The sequence below is a fragment of the Homo sapiens genome, chromosome 8 (genome assembly GCF_000001405.40).
Source record: "Homo sapiens chromosome 8, GRCh38.p14 Primary Assembly".
NCBI lineage: Eukaryota > Metazoa > Chordata > Mammalia > Primates > Hominidae > Homo > Homo sapiens.
In genome coordinates, this window is record NC_000008.11 from 140838854 (window position 1) to 140860749 (window position 21896).

The following is a 21896-nucleotide window of genomic DNA, read 5'->3' on the forward strand; positions in this document are numbered from 1 at the left end:
AAATTAGCTGGGCATGGTGGCGGGCACCTGTAGTCCCAGCTACTAAGGAGGCTGAGGCAGGAGAATGGTGTGAACCCAGGAGGCGGAGCTTGCAGTGAGCCGAGATCGCGCCACTGCACTCCAGCCTGGGCACAGAGTGAGACTCCGTCTCAAAAAAAAAAACAAAAAAAAAACTTATAAGTAAAAGTAAAAGGGAAACTAATGTTGGAAACAGATTGAGCTACAATGAAGAATGTTTAGGCAACAGGGTGATAAACATGCCGGTTTCTAGGACGCCCCCAGCACACACACACTAACACAAAGCACGACAGGCAGAAGGGAAACTGTTTTTGGGTTTCTGGACCGACGGTACCTGCAAGGTGGGGATGATGAACCCGGCGCTTGGGCACTGAGGTTGGACCTGACGAAGGCGGAAGTGGCATCATTTCCTGGCTCTTGCCAGAAGCCGCAGCAGTGTAAACAAAGCCCCCTGGAACTCAGCTTGCCCAGTCTAGGGCCACCAGCCTCTAATCCAAGCCACTTTGGTGGCCTGAGTGAGAGTCAGAGTAACAGCAGATTGAGACACCCCAGTACCTCAAGGTTATTGTCAAATACAGAACAGAAAACAGCTATGCATAAAAACTTGAAGAAATAAACGGCACAAACACCACAGATGGGCATACCAGAGGTTACCAAGCATGAAGAAGATTACATCACATGAAATGGAATGTCTAGAAATGAAAAAATATAAGTGGTAGAATGAAAAAAACAATGAACAACGTATGGCATAAAGATACTACTTAAGAGAATTAAAGAATTATAAGACAAATCCAAAGAAATATCTCCCCCAAAAAAGAGAGAATCCAGAGAGACAGAGAGATAGAAAACACGAAAAATGTAAGAGACAGCAAAGATCAGAAATATATCTGTTGATTATTAAAGAGATAGTGGCATATATTTTCCAGATGAAAAACATGAATCTACAGAATTGAGAAGTATGTCTTATTCCAACTGGATTTATAAAAAGAAATCGAAGCACAAGACATGAATAAAACTAGAAAAGATGAAAAGTAGGAAAAGGACCTTAAAAGAAAGAGCAACCATAAAGAAATGTCAACAGACATTTCTTGTCATAACAGAGTATCTTTACAGTGTTGAGAAAAAAACAATGAGCAGAACAATATATTTGGAATAAAAGGAAAAGCATACCAGAAGGGTGGTCTGAGATACAAAAATGGTTATTTTAAGCAAGGTCTTCCTCTGTTGCCCAGGCTGGAGTGCAGTGGCATGATCATAGCTCACTGCAGCCACAACAAGCTGGGCTCAAGCAATCCTCCAGCCTCAGCCTCCCGACTAGGTGAGACCACAGCTGCGTGCCACCGCGCCTGGCTAATTTTTATAATTATTTGTAGAGATGAGGTCTCGCTATGCTATCCGTGCTGGTCAAGCCATCTTCCTACCCTGGCCTCCCAGTGTGCTGGGATTATAGGTTATGAGCCACTGCACCTGGCCCAATATAGGATGTTTAAGAAATAAAATCATATACATGTAGGGAAAGCCAAAAATAATAACTGTATAAAATAATAATAATGTCTAATATTTGGAGTTTCAATTTTGAAAAGATATAACTAAAATAACAGGAAAAAATGATGTGTAAGTTGGAAGAAGATGGGGAGAGTTAAGGTGTTTAAAGGTCCTTGTATTGTTTAAGAGAGGGTTAGATAAGTTTAAAATCTGGAGTTGGTTAATATAGAAGGTTAAATGTAAGGGTAACTAATGAAAGAGTAGAGATGTTTATAAATTTCAACGTAATTACAGAAGAAAATGTGGAATAAGAATACCAACTAAGAAATACACAGCACATGCACTCACACACAGCTTATTTCTAGGACACCGGAAATAAATAATAAAAGCGAGTCCAATATATCACGCATCCTAAGAAATACAGATGTACTAAACCTGTCAGTTCAAAGAAACACTTAGCAAACTGGATTTAAGAAATCCAGCACTATGACATTTTTAAAAGACACACCTGAAAGTATAAGGACACAGAGAAGTTGAAAGTGAAGAAATGAAAAGTATAAACCAGGTCAAGGCTAACCTAAAGAAAGCAAAACAGATTTCAGAACAACAACAACAAATTATCAGGCATAGAGAAGATCACTACATAATGATGCAAAATTCAATTTACCAAGAAGGTATATTGTTCGTATGTTTAAATAAAAGCGCCTCAAAATATCAAGGAAAAATTAATAGACTTATAGGAAGAAATTGGCAAAGTCATTATCACAGATGGGTATGTTAACAAGCTTGATTAGGAAGTGCATTTTTTGAATCACACTAAAACATTTATAAAAACTGATCACACAAAGCAAATACAACAAAATGTTAATAACTGTAGCATTCAGGTAATAGACACACAGATGCTCACTGAACAAGTCTCTCAACTTATTTGTATTTTTGAAACTTTTTCATGATAAAACACTAGGGGAAAATGATCTTATTCTAGGGTCCACAAAAGAAGTCTCCATAAAAGTTGAGAAGCTCTTATCACACAGACCACGCTATCTGAGCATAATGTCATTAAGCCAAAAGTTAATTTAAAAAGAAAATATTTTTAAAATCCACACATTTGAAAATGTAAAAACAGAAATGAATACACAAAAGTTTCAAAACAAACATTTAACAATCTTAAGTTCTGGAATGCCTTTTTAAAAATCGGATCTTAAAACTCAAAAACCAAAATGAAAATACGATTTTACTACATTAAAGAAAGACAAACTTCTGTAATGATGAGAGCCATATACACATAGTTGAAAGAAAATGACGAGCTGGGAAAGAAAATACAGAACTAACATTACAAGATGTGTTAACATGACAAAGACTGCTTAAAATTAATAAAGAAAAAATATATTAGAAAAGCTTATTTAAAATATAGTTAATTTACAAAAAAAACTTAAAAATGGCCATATATGTGAAGAGGTTTAATATCACCAGTAATCAAACTAATATAAAGCAAGTTATCATCTGTTGCCTATCATATAGGCAAAAATGAACAAAAAATGGCACCATGCCTTACATTGTTATTAACCTGAACTGAATGTCCACTATTATGTGGCTGTTTAAATGTATGTAGCATTATATACTCATTGGGTGGACTAGTATACTAATGTATATTTTTATTTAGTCACATGGAAAGATCTATTAAACATAAAGTTGAATAAAAAAAGCAAGATGCATATAGGATTATTCCACTTATATTAAAACTATGCATTGAATGTGCACACAAGTGTTAAAACAGAGAGCTATAAGGATATTTATTAAAACTATGATGGTGGTTATCAGTGAGAGGAGTTGAAGAAATTTTCTTATTTGACACTGTAGTTTCACTTTTTCTCTAACTAGAATGTATTATTACCTTTGAAAATAAATAAATTAAAAATCATTTTAAAAGGGCTCAAAATTAAATCAACAGATGAACAATAACATTGTTTTCTATTTTTTTTTCTTAATGCTCTTTAAAGAAACTCTACAGTTTGGTTTTTATCCTGATTGACAATCAATATCTCCCATGGATAATAATCATAATTATAGTCCACATTTATTCAGTGTTGGGTACAAGAGGTATTAAGCTCTTGACATAAATTATCTCATCTAACTCCTTACGACAATCTCATATATAGGTAGGTATCACCATTATCCCCATTTTACACGTTTGGAAACAGACACCAAGAGCTTACTAATAAAATTTGGCAAATAGAATAGTCAAGGTGCGATAAGGACTTGAACCCAGATATTCTGCTTCAAGAGGTCACTCAACTAATCTACTTATATGGAGATAGGGTGCTGAATTCACACAAGTTGTATAACTGCAACGAATCACTACAGTGGAGCAAAAGCACAGGAATTTAGAAAGAGGGGACAGCAAAATAAGCACAATAGCATCCTAGAACTACAATAAACTAAAGATTCCTCTTTCTTTTAACTATCATATTTACTTACTTTAAATATCACACATATAAATTAACTAAGATGAAACAGCCATATCAAAACAATAGATCATTCAACTTTCCATGCAATCCTCTAAGAAGGATCTAATTTACAAACTTATGCTGTGTCTAGCTCTCCTGTTTCAAGTAATAATAATCACAAGCCCTTATGTATAGCAATTCTCATGTTCTCCATTTCACTGACCCCTGACAAAAACTGCGTAAGGTTTTGAAAGCCTTTAACACTGGTTAAAGCCCTAAGTTGTCCTCTTCTATTCACCTCTTCTCTGATCATCTGAAGTTCTGTAATTTCCAGAAATAAGCCAAATTTACACTAACTTCAGTGCAAAATTTGACTCTCATTTCAAACAGATCTTGAACTTAAAATTCTTCTCTCCAAACATACCATTCACTAATTCACCTTGACAGACAACCTGCTTTTCTTTCTTTAACTGTTTTGGCTGTTAAAAATATGTCAATGTATTATTCATGGAAATTTCTTTCAAGTATCTCTCTTCCTGTAACTCTGTATCCTTTTGACAGTATGTCTGGCTCTCTTCATTCCTTTGTATACCTCTGGTTCTCACATAGACTCTATCTTTCAGTTACCATTTCATTTTCCTATCTTGGCCTCACATACAGATAGGGTAGAATACAATTCACATTATTCTTTTTCCCCAGCCACTATACTAGAGTAGGCTTCCACAGTGACCCTGAAAGATGATCACATGTGTTCCTGGAGTCCTCTCTCTGTAACTCAGCCAGGCCACTCAACTAGCACTCCTTTCTTGACTTCACATTAACTATTTGCCATCTATTGTACCTTCTTAGATCATCTCTAACTACTTGCTGACCTCAATTCTCCCATCAGGTTTTTTTTAGATAGGCCTTTTATTTTACAATAGTTTTAGATTTACAAAAGAGTTACAAAGAGAGTATCCTGTATAGTCCACACCCAGGTCCCCCTACTATTAATATCTTGCATTACTTTGGTACATTTGTCACAAATAATAAACCAGTATGGATATATTATGATTAACAAACTCTATACTTTACTCAGATTTCATCAGTTTTCTTCCCCTATCATTTTTCTGTTCCAACATCATATGGAGGACACCACATTACCTGTAATCATCCTGTTTCTTTAGGCAACTCCTGGATATGTGAGTTTCTCTGACTTCCACTGTTTCCTTCATGACCTTGACAGTTTTGAGGAGTACTGGTTAGGTACTTTGTAAAATGTCCCTGAAGAGGGATTTGTTTGATGTTTTTTCTCGTGATTAGACTGTGGTTATGGGTTTTTATTATGAGGAAGGCCACAGAGGTAAAGTGCCTTTCTCAACACATTACATTATGGTTGCACACTATCAACATGACTGATCACTGGTGATGTTGACTTTGACCACCTGGCTAAGGTCATGCCTGTCAGGTTTCTTCACTGTAAAATTACTTTTTCCCCACACTTCCTTTCCTTATTATACTCTTTAGAAACAAGCCACTAAATGTAGCTCATACGTTAGAGGTGGGTTTTATGCTCCACCTCCTTTGAGAGAGGGTATTTACATAAATTATTTGGAATTTTTCTATAGAGGAAATTTGTCACTGCTCCTTTATTTATTTATTCAAGTATCTATATTACTATGGACTCATGGGTATTTAATTTATACTTTGGGTTACAATCTAATACTATGTAACTTAATTTGTTGCTCGAATTGTTCCAGCTTTTGTCACTGGGAACTCTTTCCACTGGCTCATTCATCCTTTGACACAGCCCCATCGTTTTGCTTTTTGAGCACTTCCTTCTTTCTGGCACTACAAGCTGCTCTAGGGCTCACCCGTGTATTATTCCTCCTCTCCCTCAAACTGCATTTTTCCAAGCAGCTCTGGTGCCTTCCACTGAAGAATGGTACTAGAAACCAAGATCTAAGCACAGGGTACCATAAGAGACTTTTTTTAATGCTACTGGTATTTGTCATTTCATAACAGTGAAATAAACCAACATTTATCTTTCCTTTTTCATTTTAAAAAACATGAATGTTCCCATAGAACTAAAAATCAACATGCTCCGAGTAACTTGTCTTCTTTCTCCTCAAGCACACTCCTTTTCTGTGACTGGTATCCATAGTGGCCCACGACAGAAAACCAAGAGACTCCTTGGGTTCCTCCCTGTCCCTAATTCAAATGTAATCAGCCTCCAGTCAGACTCTACCTCTGCTAGCCCGTGTCTCCATGGCCACTGCTTCCTTCTGTCTCACAGCCTCATCATTCTCACATGGACAAGAAAGGTACAACAGCTTCCTGGCTCCTTGCTACCATTTTCAATCTTCTTTAATGAAATTCTAATCTCACAAATATGGAATTCTAAATTGCGAATCTCATCATATAATTGTCCTGCTTGAAATGATGAGTCAGCGATGATCAAAGGCCAAGTCCAGACTCTTTGAAGAATGTACTAGATAGGTAATGACCTGGTCCCTGTATACATACCCCTCTCTCCCTCATAAGAATGGTATTCTATCTACCCCCAACCAACTCAGTTTCCTAACCTTTGCCTGATGGTCCATGTTTCTGTGCCTTTGCAAATGCTGATTTATCCTCTTGACTGGCTTCCTGGCTCCCATGCAACAAACCCCACATATCTACACTTTGTGAATCACTCATTCTTTAAGACTTAGGTTAAATAACATCTCCATGTGAAAACACCTCACACATCAAGTACCATTCTCCTGTAAACACCCAGCTGATACTTCCACTTTAGTTTCTAGCACATTATGTTATAATTTTGCTTACTTGTCTGAGAGTCTTCCTTTTAGTGGAATGCTTCCTGGGGGTTAAAATTTTGTTTTATTTCCGAATCTCTGGCACTTAGCTACAAAGGACTCAGTGTTCAGTTATCTTTTGCTGAATTAATTATGAAAAAGATGAAGTATAGGGTTTCTAGCCTCCCACGACATAAACTCCACGTTGGGTTAATTTAATACAATCTAATATAACAGTCTGATGCACACATTAATTTCATTATTGGAAAAATTTCTAGTTATTCTAGATTTTTCTGATACATGAGCAGTAACTTCCGTATCTCTATTTGTGCAAAACAATCTGTAGTAACTTATACAGAGAACATGAATAATAATTTATAAGCAATTTATAGGCAGCTGTAGAATTCAATATAAATTAGAAAAAAATATCATCTTGCAATGATTAAATCTACACAAAGTGTATGTTAATGGGCCATATACAATGTTAGCTTTAAGACATCTATCAACAAATCTAAATGTTTATTAACACAATTAATGTCATCAAGGATTCTGTCCTTTTCCTCTTCTGGATATAAAATTTTAGAAATAGCAGTGTTTCAGAATCAGTATTTAATTTTAAAATAAACTAAGAATTTAGTTCTGCATATTTGCAGGTATAGATTGTAAGTACAATACTTACTCTAATACTTCATAGTTAGACTTCTTTTCTAGTGCATTGCCCCGCATCTCCCAGTATGATCGCCTAAAATCAGGGAAGACATACATTTATATGTATATATAAGGAATGTTTGTGTTGTTAAGTGATAAAAACTGGGGGAGAGGCATCTGAATAATAAACAAAAATTAACAGCAACAAATGCAATTACTTTTGCACCAAACCAATAGTTCATAATTTACTCAAATTTTATTCAGTATTTCACTGATAATCCTTATGAAGAAAAGGAAAATACCTGGAAAATATTCAAAAATAATTAAAAAATTGATAAATAAAGGCCGCAATGTATAGTTATCATCTTACCGTATTTCTAGACAACCCAACTTCAAAGCAATTTCCTGGTCCACTTGATCAGCTATCTCTAACATATAATCGCTCTTCACCTACAACAAAAGGAATGGGAAAAACAACACTGTTTTAAAAGAAAAATATTAGATATATGCATTCAATAAATGTTTCCTGAGTACCTTTCATATAGTTTACATTATGTCGGTAATTACGCTTGATGTTAAAGATATAAATAAATGTTTCCTGAGTACCTTTCATATAGTTTACATTGTGTCGGTAATTATGCTTGATGTTAAAGATATAAATAAATGTTTCTTCAGTACCTTTCATATAGTTTACATTGTGTCGGTAATTATGCCTGATGTTAAAGATATAAACGTGAGTTATACCAAAAAATAATTAAAGAAATAAAATGGTCTCCTATTAAGAAAAGCTCATATATGACCACTTAAATGGGACATTAAGAAACAACGAATAGGGTCTGAATCATAATAACCTTCAGATGCTCCACACCTTTCCCATGCTGTCAAAAGTAAAAACAAGAAGGGAAATTTCCATTTCTACAAAAATTTGCAGATGTATTTTCTGACCTCAAACTACAGTTCCAGCAGCATATTTTGGACTCCAGTGAAAAGGCAAAGGATTTACGTACTTCAAAATCCATTTAACTGTGCAGCTCAGATGTTTTCATCTAACCATCAATTTTAAGTGATTAATCTGCAAAGTAATACAAGCTTAAAGTCTAAAGTAAAGAGAAGAATCTAATGGAATTCTTGAAATGCCTTCTAAACAATGAATCAACTCAATTTTAAAAGCCGATAAGAGTGATATCAATACGTGCAAGTAACTGTCACTGTGAACACATTTTCAAAGACGAAATGTGTACAATTTCCTTGTAGATTAGCCTGAAAAGATTAAAATCTGCAATTGATTTTGATGAGAGTACCCATTTTGAACTTCACATGAAATGTTATCCACCCCTCCTCCAAGACGCATCCCATTCTCTTCAGCAGTACACCTGTGTTACAAGAAAACCATGCTCAATTATTATATTATGAATTTTATCAACACAAAAATTTGTGGAAATTTGTCTTCTTTCTTGTTCTGTACTTTCATAATACCCTGCATTTTGCCTCGTTCCTGAAAGTCTAAACTATTTACTCTGACCCTTTATATAAAAAGTGTCTTGACTTCTACCCTAAAAAAATTTTCAAACATCCTGTTCTTCAATGACTGCCTCCTAGCCTGCTAGCCCATTTGTTCAAAGAGTCCCACCCCCAGTTAACTCATCTCTCACTCCACACCAATCTTTGTCTACTTCATACTGGATGGTTCCTCATTATGACCGTCCCTTGCAAAGACAACCAGCTCCCCTGTCTCCCATTATCCCTCTGTCTGAATTGCTTGGTAAACCCAAGCCACGTTGAACCTACCCACTCATCCTCTTCATGTTTAGATGAGCAGCTGGAGAAATCATAGTATAAACTCCACTTTCAACTCATGAAGACAAATCTCAAATGGCCAGTTAAAACTATCTGGAAATTGAACAATGCATGCCTAGGAAGCGCTACAATTCACTGATTTCATACTTCCTCCAGTAAGCCTGCCATATCTCTTTGTTACAGAGAAGATAAAACACATCAGATGAGCATACTCTCTTTAACCTACCAGGAATTTATAACCTAATATGCACTAAAAAAGTATGAACATTTACTCATTATTTTCTCTTAAAGTAGGAGAAACATTCCCTCAACCAGCAGTGGACAACTATGTGCTATTACTGATCTAAGGACTATTCGTCTCAAAACCTTTCTTTATTTTCTGCATTAGCATCTAAGGCTGGGTGCTCAATAAATATTTATTGAATGAATGCATAAACGAATGAACAAACAGTCATCAAACTGGAGGGTGGGTACATAAATGTTATTTTCCATATATATTTTCCCTCCTTTACAAGGAACAAGAGTTTCTACTCCTTCCACAAAGCAGGCACTCAAGACTGACCAACCGGAACTGAATTAATTCATTCAGTTAAGTAAAAAGCTTTAGGTCTAGAACTATTCGTTTAACTTCTACAAATAGTAGAAGCTCTTGTTTCTACAAAACAAAAAATAAGTCTCAATTTAAAACCTGTTTTGCATCATAAGTAGGTTTATTATCGAGCACAAAAATAAAGGCGCAAGAATTAAACCAAGATAGGTATTTAGATAGGCAGAAAAATACCACCGTTACTCTGATGGAAACATTCAGTGGCTTTTAGTTGTCTGATGCAGATTTCAGAGGAACTACTGCAGACCACCAATTACATGATGAGGAAAATGCACCATTACCAAATTCAATTAATCTTGAAGATTAATTGCCACAATTTTTAAACACTATTCACAGGTAGAAAAAATAATCAAATGCTATATTTCATCATCAAAACCAAATTCGCATTGTAAAAATGAAAAAGGGGGAAATTATAATAATCTTCATTTAAAAAATCTCATTTATGAGAATGAGTTCAAAGTTCTGAGAGTTGTTTTTCCTATAGCTTTAATCTCGATTATCAGAGCTGCATGATCACACACTGAAATCTATTTGTGGCCCGATGTGATCAAAGTATTCTGCAAAGAGTATAGATCTGAGATAGAATAAGGCATCACCACAGACCCGTGTCCTCCCCTCAAGCCCCAAAGCAGCTTCCCCTCTGCTGCCAGAGAGAAAGCAAACTCTATTCAGTGTCTCAATGCTCCCTGTCATCTAGGCTCTAGAGAGTGTTCTCTCAAGCCACTGGGCACGGCCACATCCTGAGGCTGGGCTTCAAGACTCAGAATTATGTACACACTTTGTTCATATCCCTTATAAAACACTTCTTGACCACCTGTCTTCCACTAACTCCCAGCAGAATTGCTATCATTTGTGAAACCAAACTGATCAAGCATTTAGGTTTCTATAAAGTATATATACCTAGCACCATGTCAAGCAGATTTACATGTAATATCTCATTTAATCATCAGAACATCACTGTGAGGTGGGTACTATTATCATCCCCATTTTATAGCCTCAGAAAAAGCCTAAAAGATTGATCAAAATGATAGCAGTAGATAATAATCCTACTTAAGGAGTATCCACCAGGGACCAGTTACTACGCTAAGCATTTTACGTATATTTCTGATCTTTACAATAATTCTTCAAGGTAGAGTTTATTAGTCCTATTATATATAAAGATCAGAAAACTTAACTTCGTGTTGAACACGTATTAAAGTCAGGATTCAAAATCCAGATGTATCAACCCCGAAAACTCCAGCTTTAGTTTGTACCTACTACTTGTCAACTCTTTCACAGTGCAGTCATTCTCTACTAGAATGAAGATTAACAAATAGGAACCACCTCTCATTTACCCTTGCATCCCCAGTATCAACCACAATAGATTCATATGCATCTCCTGAGGTATTGGAACACTGGCACTGTGTTGTACTCTCTTTTTCTATTGTGGATTATACCCAGGTCCAGGAAATTTGCAAGATCCTTCCAAAAAAAAAGACTTCTGAAAGTTGGTTTTTAAAAATTAATTTGTTGGCTAGGCACAGTGGCTCACGCCTGTAATCCCAGCACTTTGGGAGGCCGAGGTGGGTGGATCACCTGAGGTCAGGAGTTCGAGACCAGCCTGGCCAACATGGTGAAACCCCGTCTCTACTAAAAATACAAAAATTAGCTGGGCATGGTGGCAGGCACCTATAATCCCAGGTACTCGGGAGGCTAAGGCGGGAGAATTGCTTGAACCCAGGAGGCGGAGGTTGCAGAGAGCCAAGATCGTGCCATTGCACTCCAGCCTGGGGGCCAACAGTGAGACTTCGTCTCAAAAAAAAACTACGACGGGCCAGGCGCGGTGGCTTATGTCTGTAATCCCAGCACTCTGGGAGGCCAAGGCGGGTAGATCACGAGGTCAGGATATCGAGACCACCCTGGCTAACATAGTGAAACCCCATCTCTACTAAAAAAAAAAAAAAAAAAATTATCCGGGCGTGGTGGCAGGCACCTGTAGTCCCAGCTACTTGGGAGGCTGAGGCAAGAGAATGGCGTGAACGCGGGAGGCGGAGCTTGCAGTGAGCCGTGATCGTGTCACTGCACTCCAGCCTGGGCGACAGAGCGAGACTCCATCTCAAAAAAGAAAAAGAAAAAAAAACTAGGATGGATTTGGACTTCTTTCTTTGTGCAAGTATTGTATTTGTATCAAGGAGTTCCTTCATCATACTCTGCAATAGAATGAATGAAGCACAGGTTTTAATATAAAAACTGTTCACATTTTGTAACAGAAAATATTGATGCTAAATTACTCCATAATGTATTGCATATGTCAACTCAATGATTTGGCTACCACATGAGATTTTGTGTTTTATTGTGGTCTCTTTTGAATATTCTAACAGCTACACAAATTTATCAGTTGGACTCAAATGACCTTGGTAGCAAAGAAAGAGGATGGGGCAGAGGGCAGACAAAGAAAAAACTGACTAGGTTTACTTACTAGCTGGGTGACCAAAAGCAAGTAATTTTACTCTTAGAGCCTAGCTGACTGAGTTTTTGTCAGATACTGTGAAGTATTTTGTATACAGAAGGAACTCAATGGCAGCTCCAAATTAATACTAACTTAATTTTTCCTCTTTCATACCTAAGCTATAAAAATATACAAATGAACAATTACGCTACCTTAATGAGTTATATACTTTTAAACAGTTCAATGTCATTTAACATAGTATTTAACAGTTACACATTCATTGATTTATCAAATGTTTATAAAATGACTATCATGCGCCAGGATATTATAGTGAATAAAACAAACATGGAACTTACACAAAGGTAATGGTAAATTTTCATTTAAAAATAATTACTTTGGATGTTCTATTGAGGATAGACCATAAAGCTATATGACAACAAATGTTTCCATTATCTCTTTTTGTTGTCCATTTATAATGGTTAAGTAACCCCAAATTTTATTAAAAGTAAATGAAGGGGCCAGGCATGGTGGCTCACACCTGTAATCCCAGTACTTTGGGAGGCCAAGGCAGGTGGATCGCTTGAGCTCAGGAGTTCAAGACCAGGCTGGTCAACATGGCAAAAACATCTCTCTACTATAAATACAAAAATTAGGCAGACATGGTGGTGTGCACCTGTAGTCCCAGCTACACGGGAGGCTGAAGAAGGAGAATCGCTTGAACCCGGGAGGCAGAGGTTGCAGTGAGCCGAGATCATGCCACTGCTTTCCAGCGTGGGTGACAGAGAGAGACTTTATCTCAAAAAAAAAAAAAAAAAGGTAGTAAATGAATCTAACTGCATAGCAATCTTTTAAAAGAACATTTGATGTTGAGTGTGTGTGTGCCCGTGTGTGTACTTGGGTGGGAGCACATGCACACATACATGTGTGTGCACACACACAATCTGATTTCTCAAACTTCAAAAATTTGCTTTATTTCTTGGATTTTTTTCATGACATCTTCTAATAAATCTCATCTAAAAGTTTTGAATATCAGGGCATTAGGATTAAAAGTCAATTCTCAATATTAAATTCCCGAAGATAATAAACTGAGCACCTAAAACCCATGCCCTACTGTGTGGTGGATACAACGGTGAAGAAGACAGACTTCTTATTTGCTCTCACTGAATGCACACCCTGTTGGTAGGTACAACAGATTAACGACAGTTAAATATAACGTATAAACAACAGATCAGTGCTTGCTAGAGTTAGGGATGGGACAGCATGTGACTAATAAAGCAACAGGGATTTTCTTTGTGTCCATAGGATAGTTCTGTATCTTGATTATGATGATTACATACATTTGCACCTGTGATAAAACTGCACAGAATTACACACACACACACACTTGAATGTGTGTAAACATTAGTGAAATCTAAATTAGGTTTGCAGTCTAGTTAACAGTATTCTGCCAGTATCAATTTCCTTATTCCTATATTGTATTATATCATGACTGAAGTGGTAATTACTGGACTGTATACAATTGTCAAAACTCACTAAACTGCATACTTAAATTATTTTATTGTATGTAAATTATACCTCAATAAAACAAATTTTGTATTTTAAAATGTGTATATGTTGTATGGGAAATGTACGGGTACTATGCACAGGTAAATGGAAGGCTTTACGTGGAAAGCACCATTTAAATTAAGAGCTGAAGACTGAGCAGAAGTAACCTAATTCCAGGAAAGAAAAGGCAAGTTATACAGGAAAATGTTAACTCAGCGGCAGGTCTGGGATGCTCAAATCCTGTTCATTCCCACGAAAGGCATATTTTTAGGGCTGGCCCTTAGTCTCTTAGAAACTAAACCCCTGAAATGTTCTGTCTGATAAGAGTGCTTCTGCATACCTGAAGACGGCCACAATTTGACCACCAACTGGTGAAAAAACTGGCCACCAATTTGAACCAGATAATTTATGCACACACTGTTTTGATGGTAAACACCTGTTTTCTCTCTAGGGTCTGGAAAGTGAATAAATGAGGTCAGTCACGTAGGCGTTGTATGCCTATGAGACTGACCTCCAACACACACCTTAAACACTCAAGCTCAGGCCAGAGTCTCTGCTTGGCAAACCTTTGCATATGATGTCACACTCTTTTTTTTTTTTAATACTTTAAGTTTTAGGGTACATGTGCACAATATGCAGGTTTGTTACATATGTATACATCTGCCATGTTGGTGTGCTGCACCCATTAACTTGTCATTTACATTACGTATATATCCTAATGCTATCCCTCCCCCCTCCCCCCACCCCACGACAGGCCCCAGTGTGTGATGTTCCCTGCCCTGTGTCCAAGTGTTCTCATTGTTCAATTCCCACCTACGAGGGAGAACATGTGGTGTTTGGTTTTCTGTCCTTGTGATAGTTTGCTGAGAATGATGGTTTCCAGCTTCATCCATGTCCCTACAAAGGACATGAACTCATCCTTTTTTATGGCTGCATAGTATTCCATGGTGTATATGTGCCACATTTTCTTAATCCAGTCTATCACTGATGGACATTTGGGTTGGTTCCAAGTCTCTGCTGTTGTGAATAGTGCCACAGTAAACACACGTGTGCATGAGTGTCACACCCTTTATTAACCATGAGTGCTTCTCCTTCAATTATCAAAAATATACAAGAGTGAAAAAGGGAGAAGAAATGTACACAATTAAATCTTCAAACCACAGAAAATAAACCTTCTAATAAGAGAGTTAGACTACATTACATTTTAGCTTCTGTCTGGAAAAGGGCAGCTGATAATTCCTATACTGAGAATGCCAGGCTTAAACTAAGTTTTACCTCTTAGACCTGCAATTTCAAAATGTATCTTAACGACAGCTTTAAGGCCAAGAAAATATAGAGAAGGAAGTCAATTTCTAATGACACAATTATCTGAAAACTTGTAAAACTACAAAAGAAAACTGGAATAAAAATAAAAGGAAGGTGACCAATAAGAAATAAGTATGCCCTGGCACCTCACATGTTCCTATAGTTAAGTTTAGATTCTATACCATAGAGTTAAGTTACAGTTTTAGACTCAGTATTTTCTTCAACTTCCTATTGCAACTCCTTTTGTCAAGGAAACCACTGATTATTTAATGTCATTTAAAAGTTAATGGGTGGACATACTCATTCTAAGTCTTAAAACATCTGTAGGAGTAAACAATGACAAACTCGTATCAGGCTCAGGCATCTGAAGAGCTGAACATTTCAACAGTGCTAAAAGATTTCTATACAAGTTCAGCATCCTCAATGCAGATTAATATGACTTCTTGACTAAACATGGACACTGGCCTTCAAACTAACAGCCACCATCATTTGCAAAAAGTTGCCAATGAAATACTTATAACTTTAACAAATGAAAGTTGTGAGAGAAAAAATAAACGTTACACGGTAAAGAAAAAAATTTGATTCCGGGGTAAAACAAACTGTTCCTGCTTCCTCATGAGTCATTAGCTTTATTGTCAAACTCATTTTTATAAATTCCTGCTCTATATACTGTTATAACAGTGAATACTGTTATAACAAGATTCTAATTTATTTTTAGAATGTGCTAATTAATATATTTCAGAATATTCACAAATAGGTCAAAATATTTAGTAAGTCATTGAAATTTTCACATTGGTAGTTACATTTAGGCCATCTTTTAATGAAGCTATGTGCATCCTTAATAATTATGTCTAACTAGTAATATAACGCTCAAACACTCATCAGTGTTTTCCTCATGACCCCACCCAAAATGGACTTGGATGAATTTTCAGAATGAGAAATAATAAAATTAGGGGAGTTTATTGTAATCTATTTCCCTCCCTCTCTTCTTTTCATGGGATGGGGTGGTGGTAGAAATAATTTAAACATAATTATTTTATTTCTGCACTGGCTAAACCAAATATATATATGTATGTATAAAATATATGTATTTTTAGAAACTGGGTCTTGCTCTGTCACCCAGGCTGGAGTACAGTGGCACAACCATTTCTCACTGCAGCCCAAACTCAAGCACAAGTGGTCCTTCAGCCTCAGCTTCCCAAAGGGCTGAGATTCCAGGCATGAGCCACTGCATCTGGCCCCATTAAAAATACTGATTCATTTACATAGAAATTAAAAGAGAACACTAAGGAGTGTGTTCACTATGTGCCAGACATTTCTAAGAGCTTTGATATGCTGTTTCACTGAAGACTCACAACAATCCCCTCTGCCCATTTTCTAGACTTAAAAAAAAAGGGGGGGGTCGCCACGTGTGGTGGCTCACGTCAGTAATCCCAGCACTTTGGGAGGCCGAGGCGGGTGGATCACGAGGTCAGGAGATTGAGACCATCCTGGCCAACATGCTGAAACCCCATCTCTACTAAAAATACAAAAAATTAGCCAGGTATGGTGGCGGGCGACTGTAGTCCCAGCTACTCAGGAGGCTGAGGCAGGAGAATCGCCTGAACCCAGGAGGCGGAGGTTGCAGTGAGCCAAGATCACGCCACCACACTCCAGCCTGGACAACAGAGCAAGACTCTGTCTCAAAAAAAACAAAAAAAGAAAACCTAAGATCAGTTAAGAAAATGAACAGACAAGCCACAGACTCAGAGAAAATACTAGCAAAACATAACATGACAAAGGACTAGTATACAAGGTACATGAAAAGTCCTACATTTTAAAATCATAGAGACAGAAAGTAGAATGGTGGTTGCCAGGGGCTGCAAGGAGGACAAATGGGGAAATATTGTCTATAGACTTTCAGTTTTATAAAATGAAAAGAGTTACAGAGAAGGATGGTGGGGATGGTTGTGCAATATTATGAATGTATGTAGCACTGCTGAACTGCACACTTAAAAATGGTTAAGATGGTAAATTTTATGATGGTAAGTGTGTGTTCTACCACAATTTAAAAAAAATTGGGAAGAAAAAGCGTACGATTTTACAATACATATTGTACAAAAAGGTTTAAGCAGATTTTCAAAAAAGGAGACCTACTAACATTCAATATGCACATGGAAGAATAAACAACATAAACAATGATTATTAGTTGGTACCCAGAGAAGTGAACATAAAAACCACCACGATTCAACCACATACCCACCTAGTCAAAAGGCTAAAACAAAACAATGACAACATCAAATGTTGGATAGAATGCAGAGCAACCAGAACTCTCATACATTACTGGAGGAAATATAAAATCACACAACTGTAAAGGATCAAAGGGTAGATACAAATTTCATTTAACATGAAAGTCCCAGCCCATGTTCACAAAAATGCTTGCCAAAGAATGTTCCCAGTCATCTCAATAATAGTAAAAAACAAAACAAAACAAAACAAAACAAAACAAAACAGTCCAGATGTTCATCAACAGAAAAATGGATAAATACACTACGATATATTTATATAACAGAATACTACTCAACAAGAAAACTACTGAAATCTCAAAAACATGAGAAAAGAAACTTCACATAAAAATACGCACTACATAATCTGTTTATAAGAAATTCTAAAACATGCAAAACTAAACTACGGTGGGAAAAACACAGGAGCAATGGTTGCTTGGGGCAATGACTGGGGGCAAGGATTGACTGGGAAGGGTCAGTGGGAAACTTCCTGGGGTGATGGTCATATTCTACATTCCAGAGGCATTCAGATTATTCTGGTGTATGTATCTGTGAAAACTCAATAAATGTATACTTAATATTTATATATTTAACTGTGTATAAATCAAAACAAAAACCATAATTGAATACTGAATTCTAGGTTAACGATACTTATGTTGAAGTGTGCTGACACTTGAAACTTACTTTGAAATGTATGAAAATTTAAGATGGATTAATGGCTAAAGGGATGGAGAGATAAAAACAGTTATGTGATAAAGGAAGCATAACAAACGTTAATGGTAGAATCTAAGTGGTGGGTATGCTGGTGTTCATTATAAAATTCTTTCAACACTGCAGTACATCTGAAGTTTCATAATACAATGTCGTAGAAAAAATAAAATTTTGAGGCACAGAGAAATAATTTCCCCACAGTTAAAGTTAAGCCATTGATCAGAGTGATCACACTCAGCCATGAAGCTTGTTGACGCCAGTTTAAGTCTCCACATAGTGGCCTTTACCTTCTTATATACTATTAGCAGAACAGTGAGAATGACATTTTTTGCAACCTGGATCTGAACTCTGTCATCCCTTTGCACTTAACTTTCTCTGGCTTCTCAGTGTCTTCACAATCAAGGTCAGATGACTGAAAAGGGCATCTCAAGCCATCCCTTACTGTCTCATCTCTCACCCTGCCCTCCAGTCACACTGGCTTTTTATCAGCTCCTCGAATCTCCAAGCTCCCTTCTACAAGGGGCCTTTGTATCAAATCCAAGTGTGGAAAGGCAATTAAGCATCATAACAATTCAATGACTTAGGATTCCAACAGTATTGCTAAAGGGACCTGCTATATAAACCAGGACCAGATTCTGGATGCATTATAACAATTATTCTTACATTACTGGGGTCACAAGAAGGTAAAGGAAAATGGGGCAGAGGGACGAAATAAGAACAAATACAAGCTAAGATCCTAGTAGAAGCCATGGGCTGTAAGATACAGGAACAGAGGACATGTATGCTCTCAGCTGGCTGAGGACTGACCACTTCTCCTTACTTCCGCCAAGTGAGAGAGCTTATCTTGAGATTCATGTAGTAAGGCGGTGTCTTCAAAATCTACTCAAAGGGTCTCCATTTGGTAGTAACTTGTTTCCAAGCAAACAAATACAAACCTTTAGAGGAAAGAATCCCCAAACTAGGTAGGCCCTCAAGATTTCCACATGTGAAGTTCAACAAAACAAGAGTTCAGAACTCACACACAAGGAAAAAAGTCACTGTGAAAGCCACCAACAACAAACGTGAAGAGCCCAAGGACTTCAGATGCTATAATTCACATTCAGAATAGAGACATTCATTACATATGAAATGGTAAAAGAAATATTAATAAAAGGCAGATAGATTAGCAAATAATAAGGGCCATACAAAGTGGCCTGGCAATTTAAAAAACTTTTTTTAAATCATAAGCAAAAAAATCAACAAATGCACCAAACATAAAACTGGTCACGGTTGAGGAGAGCTGGTAATCTGCCAGACTAGACTGACCTGAATTATGTATCCTTTAGAAAGACAAGAAATTAAAAACATGAAAAACAAGCTAACACATATGGAGAGACTGAGGAGTTCTAACATAGATCTAACCCAAAATCCCAGAAGAAATAACAAAAAACTAAGAAAAGGTCATATCAGAATAGACAACAACTAAGAGATTTCCAGAAATGATGAAAACGACATGACCCCCTAGAGGTACATGTAGCATGACACAGATCAAGCAAGGGCAGAAAAAAAAAAAGAAAGAAAGAAAGAAAAAAAGAAAATCCACGACTCGTTTGTAATGAAGCTGTAAAAACCAAAGAGAAAAAAGGATCTTCAAGCCATCCAGACAGAAAAGACAGGTCACCTACACAGAAAGAAAAAATGAGAGCTGAGTTCTCAACAGCAAATAAACAATTAAAGACAGTAGGAAATAACCATCAAAATACTGACAGAAAATGCCTACCCTGATTTGTGTACCCAGCAATACTATTTTTCAAGCAGGAGAAAAAAAGAACATTAGAAAAATGGATCTAAATAACACAATTAAAAATCTTGAAATAATGGCTATTTATTGAGCCTGTGCCAAACAATTACAGAAGACACATTCCACTCAAGCAAAACTGGAACCTTAACAATATCTAAATATGTGCAAGGTGATGAAACAAGTCCATACGGAACTTAAACAATTAGTATCAAATGAGCCACAGTCTCTTGACTACAATGCAAAATTATTTTCAAAATGAGCCAAAAGAGATAAATTATTAAATCCACGGATGATCACTTTTCCATTTATACCAACAAGGTATACTGAATGTCCTGACCAACCACCTAGCTGAAAGCAACTAAAACCGCTGAACAAATTATTTTTTTAAAATCTTCTTGAATGCTTACGTGAGCTGGGAAACAAAACAAAACAGAAAATACTCAAGCTAATGACAGGAATAGAGAAGTCTATGGGAGAACTTAAGGTCAGCTTTTACCTTAAGGGTAGAACTGAAGAATAAAAACATGTTGTAAAGCATGACAACTGGCAAACAAAAGCAAGCATGGGAATGATAAATACAAAATTCAGGATAATGGTACACTGAGTGGAGTGAAAGGGCAGTGTGTACAGTGAGGTGGGCCACAGGAACATGGGACAGGGAAGTATCAGGATGTTCTTTTCATCTGAGCAGTAGGGTCATGGGTATTCATTTTATCATCAATTATCACACCTTATAAAAGAATAAACATATATCAGATATTATAGAATCTACAGAATTAAAAATTATCAATGTCATCAAATTCTGAGCCCCATAAAAATCACTGATTTAGCCTAGAATTCAGTGGAAGTATGTTATGTATATATGTATCCATCTTAAATGTTTGCATCAAATATTAAAGACTTTAAAGGTTAGAGAATGCGTATCATCAAATTCTGAGGCCATTATAAAGTGACTAATTTATCTCACACTTCAGTGAAGGTTCTCACACACAATACTTACGTAACGTTTCAGCTGCATTCTCAGATAAATATACGCTGGCTATAGAAAGCTGATGAGGACAATTACTGATTTATCTGTGCCCCCCCTCCCGCCCACCCCCGACATGTGTGTTTAAATAGCAGAAACCTCTGGATTCCAAACTGATTTTGCAACTTTGGAATTAAACCCTTTCCCAAGTTGGGTGCTGCCTGTGCAGGACAATATATGGATCACTTATAACAGTTCTGGAATTGCGAAGCATGTAGCAGGGCAGATTCTGCATTGAGACTTTACCAGGAGAAGTCAAATATATAATTACTTACCAAACCAGCAATAAAAACTCATAGTATATTCAAAACTTTCTTGCCAGATCAGGCTAAAATTTAAAAATATGCATTTTTTTCCCACATAAACGAAAATTATACAGGTTTTATACATGGCCTGTTTTAAACAACAGCATTTAATGCTGTTAATACCTTCCACATCCATGAACAGTTGTACCTCCCTGTTAATGAGGGATACATAAATTTGAAACTCAGTACAACTAACCTGTTGAAAGACATCTGCAACGCCTCTAATTTCTTTCTTGTTACTGTAATATGCTTATAAGCACCCTTGTACATGTATGCATACATGTGTAAATCTTATTTCTTTTGAATAAATTCATAAAAGTAGAATTATTAGGTCCAATCATAGGGAACTGCCAACGTTTCAACTGTTTTTTACTTACGGTAAAGATGGCAGTCAACAGGGTCACCCAACAAACTGGAGGACGTGAACATACTCAAGGCTTTTGGTATACTGGCCAATTCATGCATTTTGACAAATCATAGTATTTTGTTTTTGTTGAGACAGGGCCTTGCTCTGTCGCCCAGGCTGGAGTGCAGTGGCATGATCTTGGCTCACTGCAACCTTTGCCTCCTGGATTCAAGCTATTCTCCTGCCCCAGCTCCTCAGTAGCTGGGATACAGGTGTGTACCACCATGCTCTGCTAATCTTTTTATTTTTAGTAGAGACGGAGTTTTGCCATGTTGGCCAAGGCTGGTCTCGAACTCCTGACCTCAGGTGATCCACCCGCCTCGGCCTCCCAAAGTGCTGGGATCAC

General features: G+C 36.9%; 1 protein-coding gene across 173 annotated transcripts in view; it reads right to left on the reverse strand.

Moving 5' to 3' along the window:
* PTK2 (protein tyrosine kinase 2) overlaps positions 1-21896 on the reverse strand; it is a 344180-nt gene that overhangs the window by 180954 nt on the left and 141330 nt on the right. For 168 of the 173 annotated variants that reach the window (NR_148039.2, NR_148038.2, NR_148036.2 and 165 more), the window contains 2 exons: positions 7746-7825; positions 7407-7469 (listed from right to left, as the gene is read on the reverse strand). Coding sequence is in view for 159 of the 173 variants with exons in the window: in NM_001352699.2 (NP_001339628.1) it covers positions 7407-7469; positions 7746-7825 (143 nt within the window). In the remaining 14 variants the exon portion in view is untranslated. Of the gene's footprint in view, positions 1-5093; positions 5168-7406; positions 7470-7745; positions 7826-21896 lie in introns of all 173 variants that reach the window. The other 5 variants (NM_001352746.2, NM_001352742.2, NM_001352735.2 and 2 more) reach the window with 2 other exon arrangements.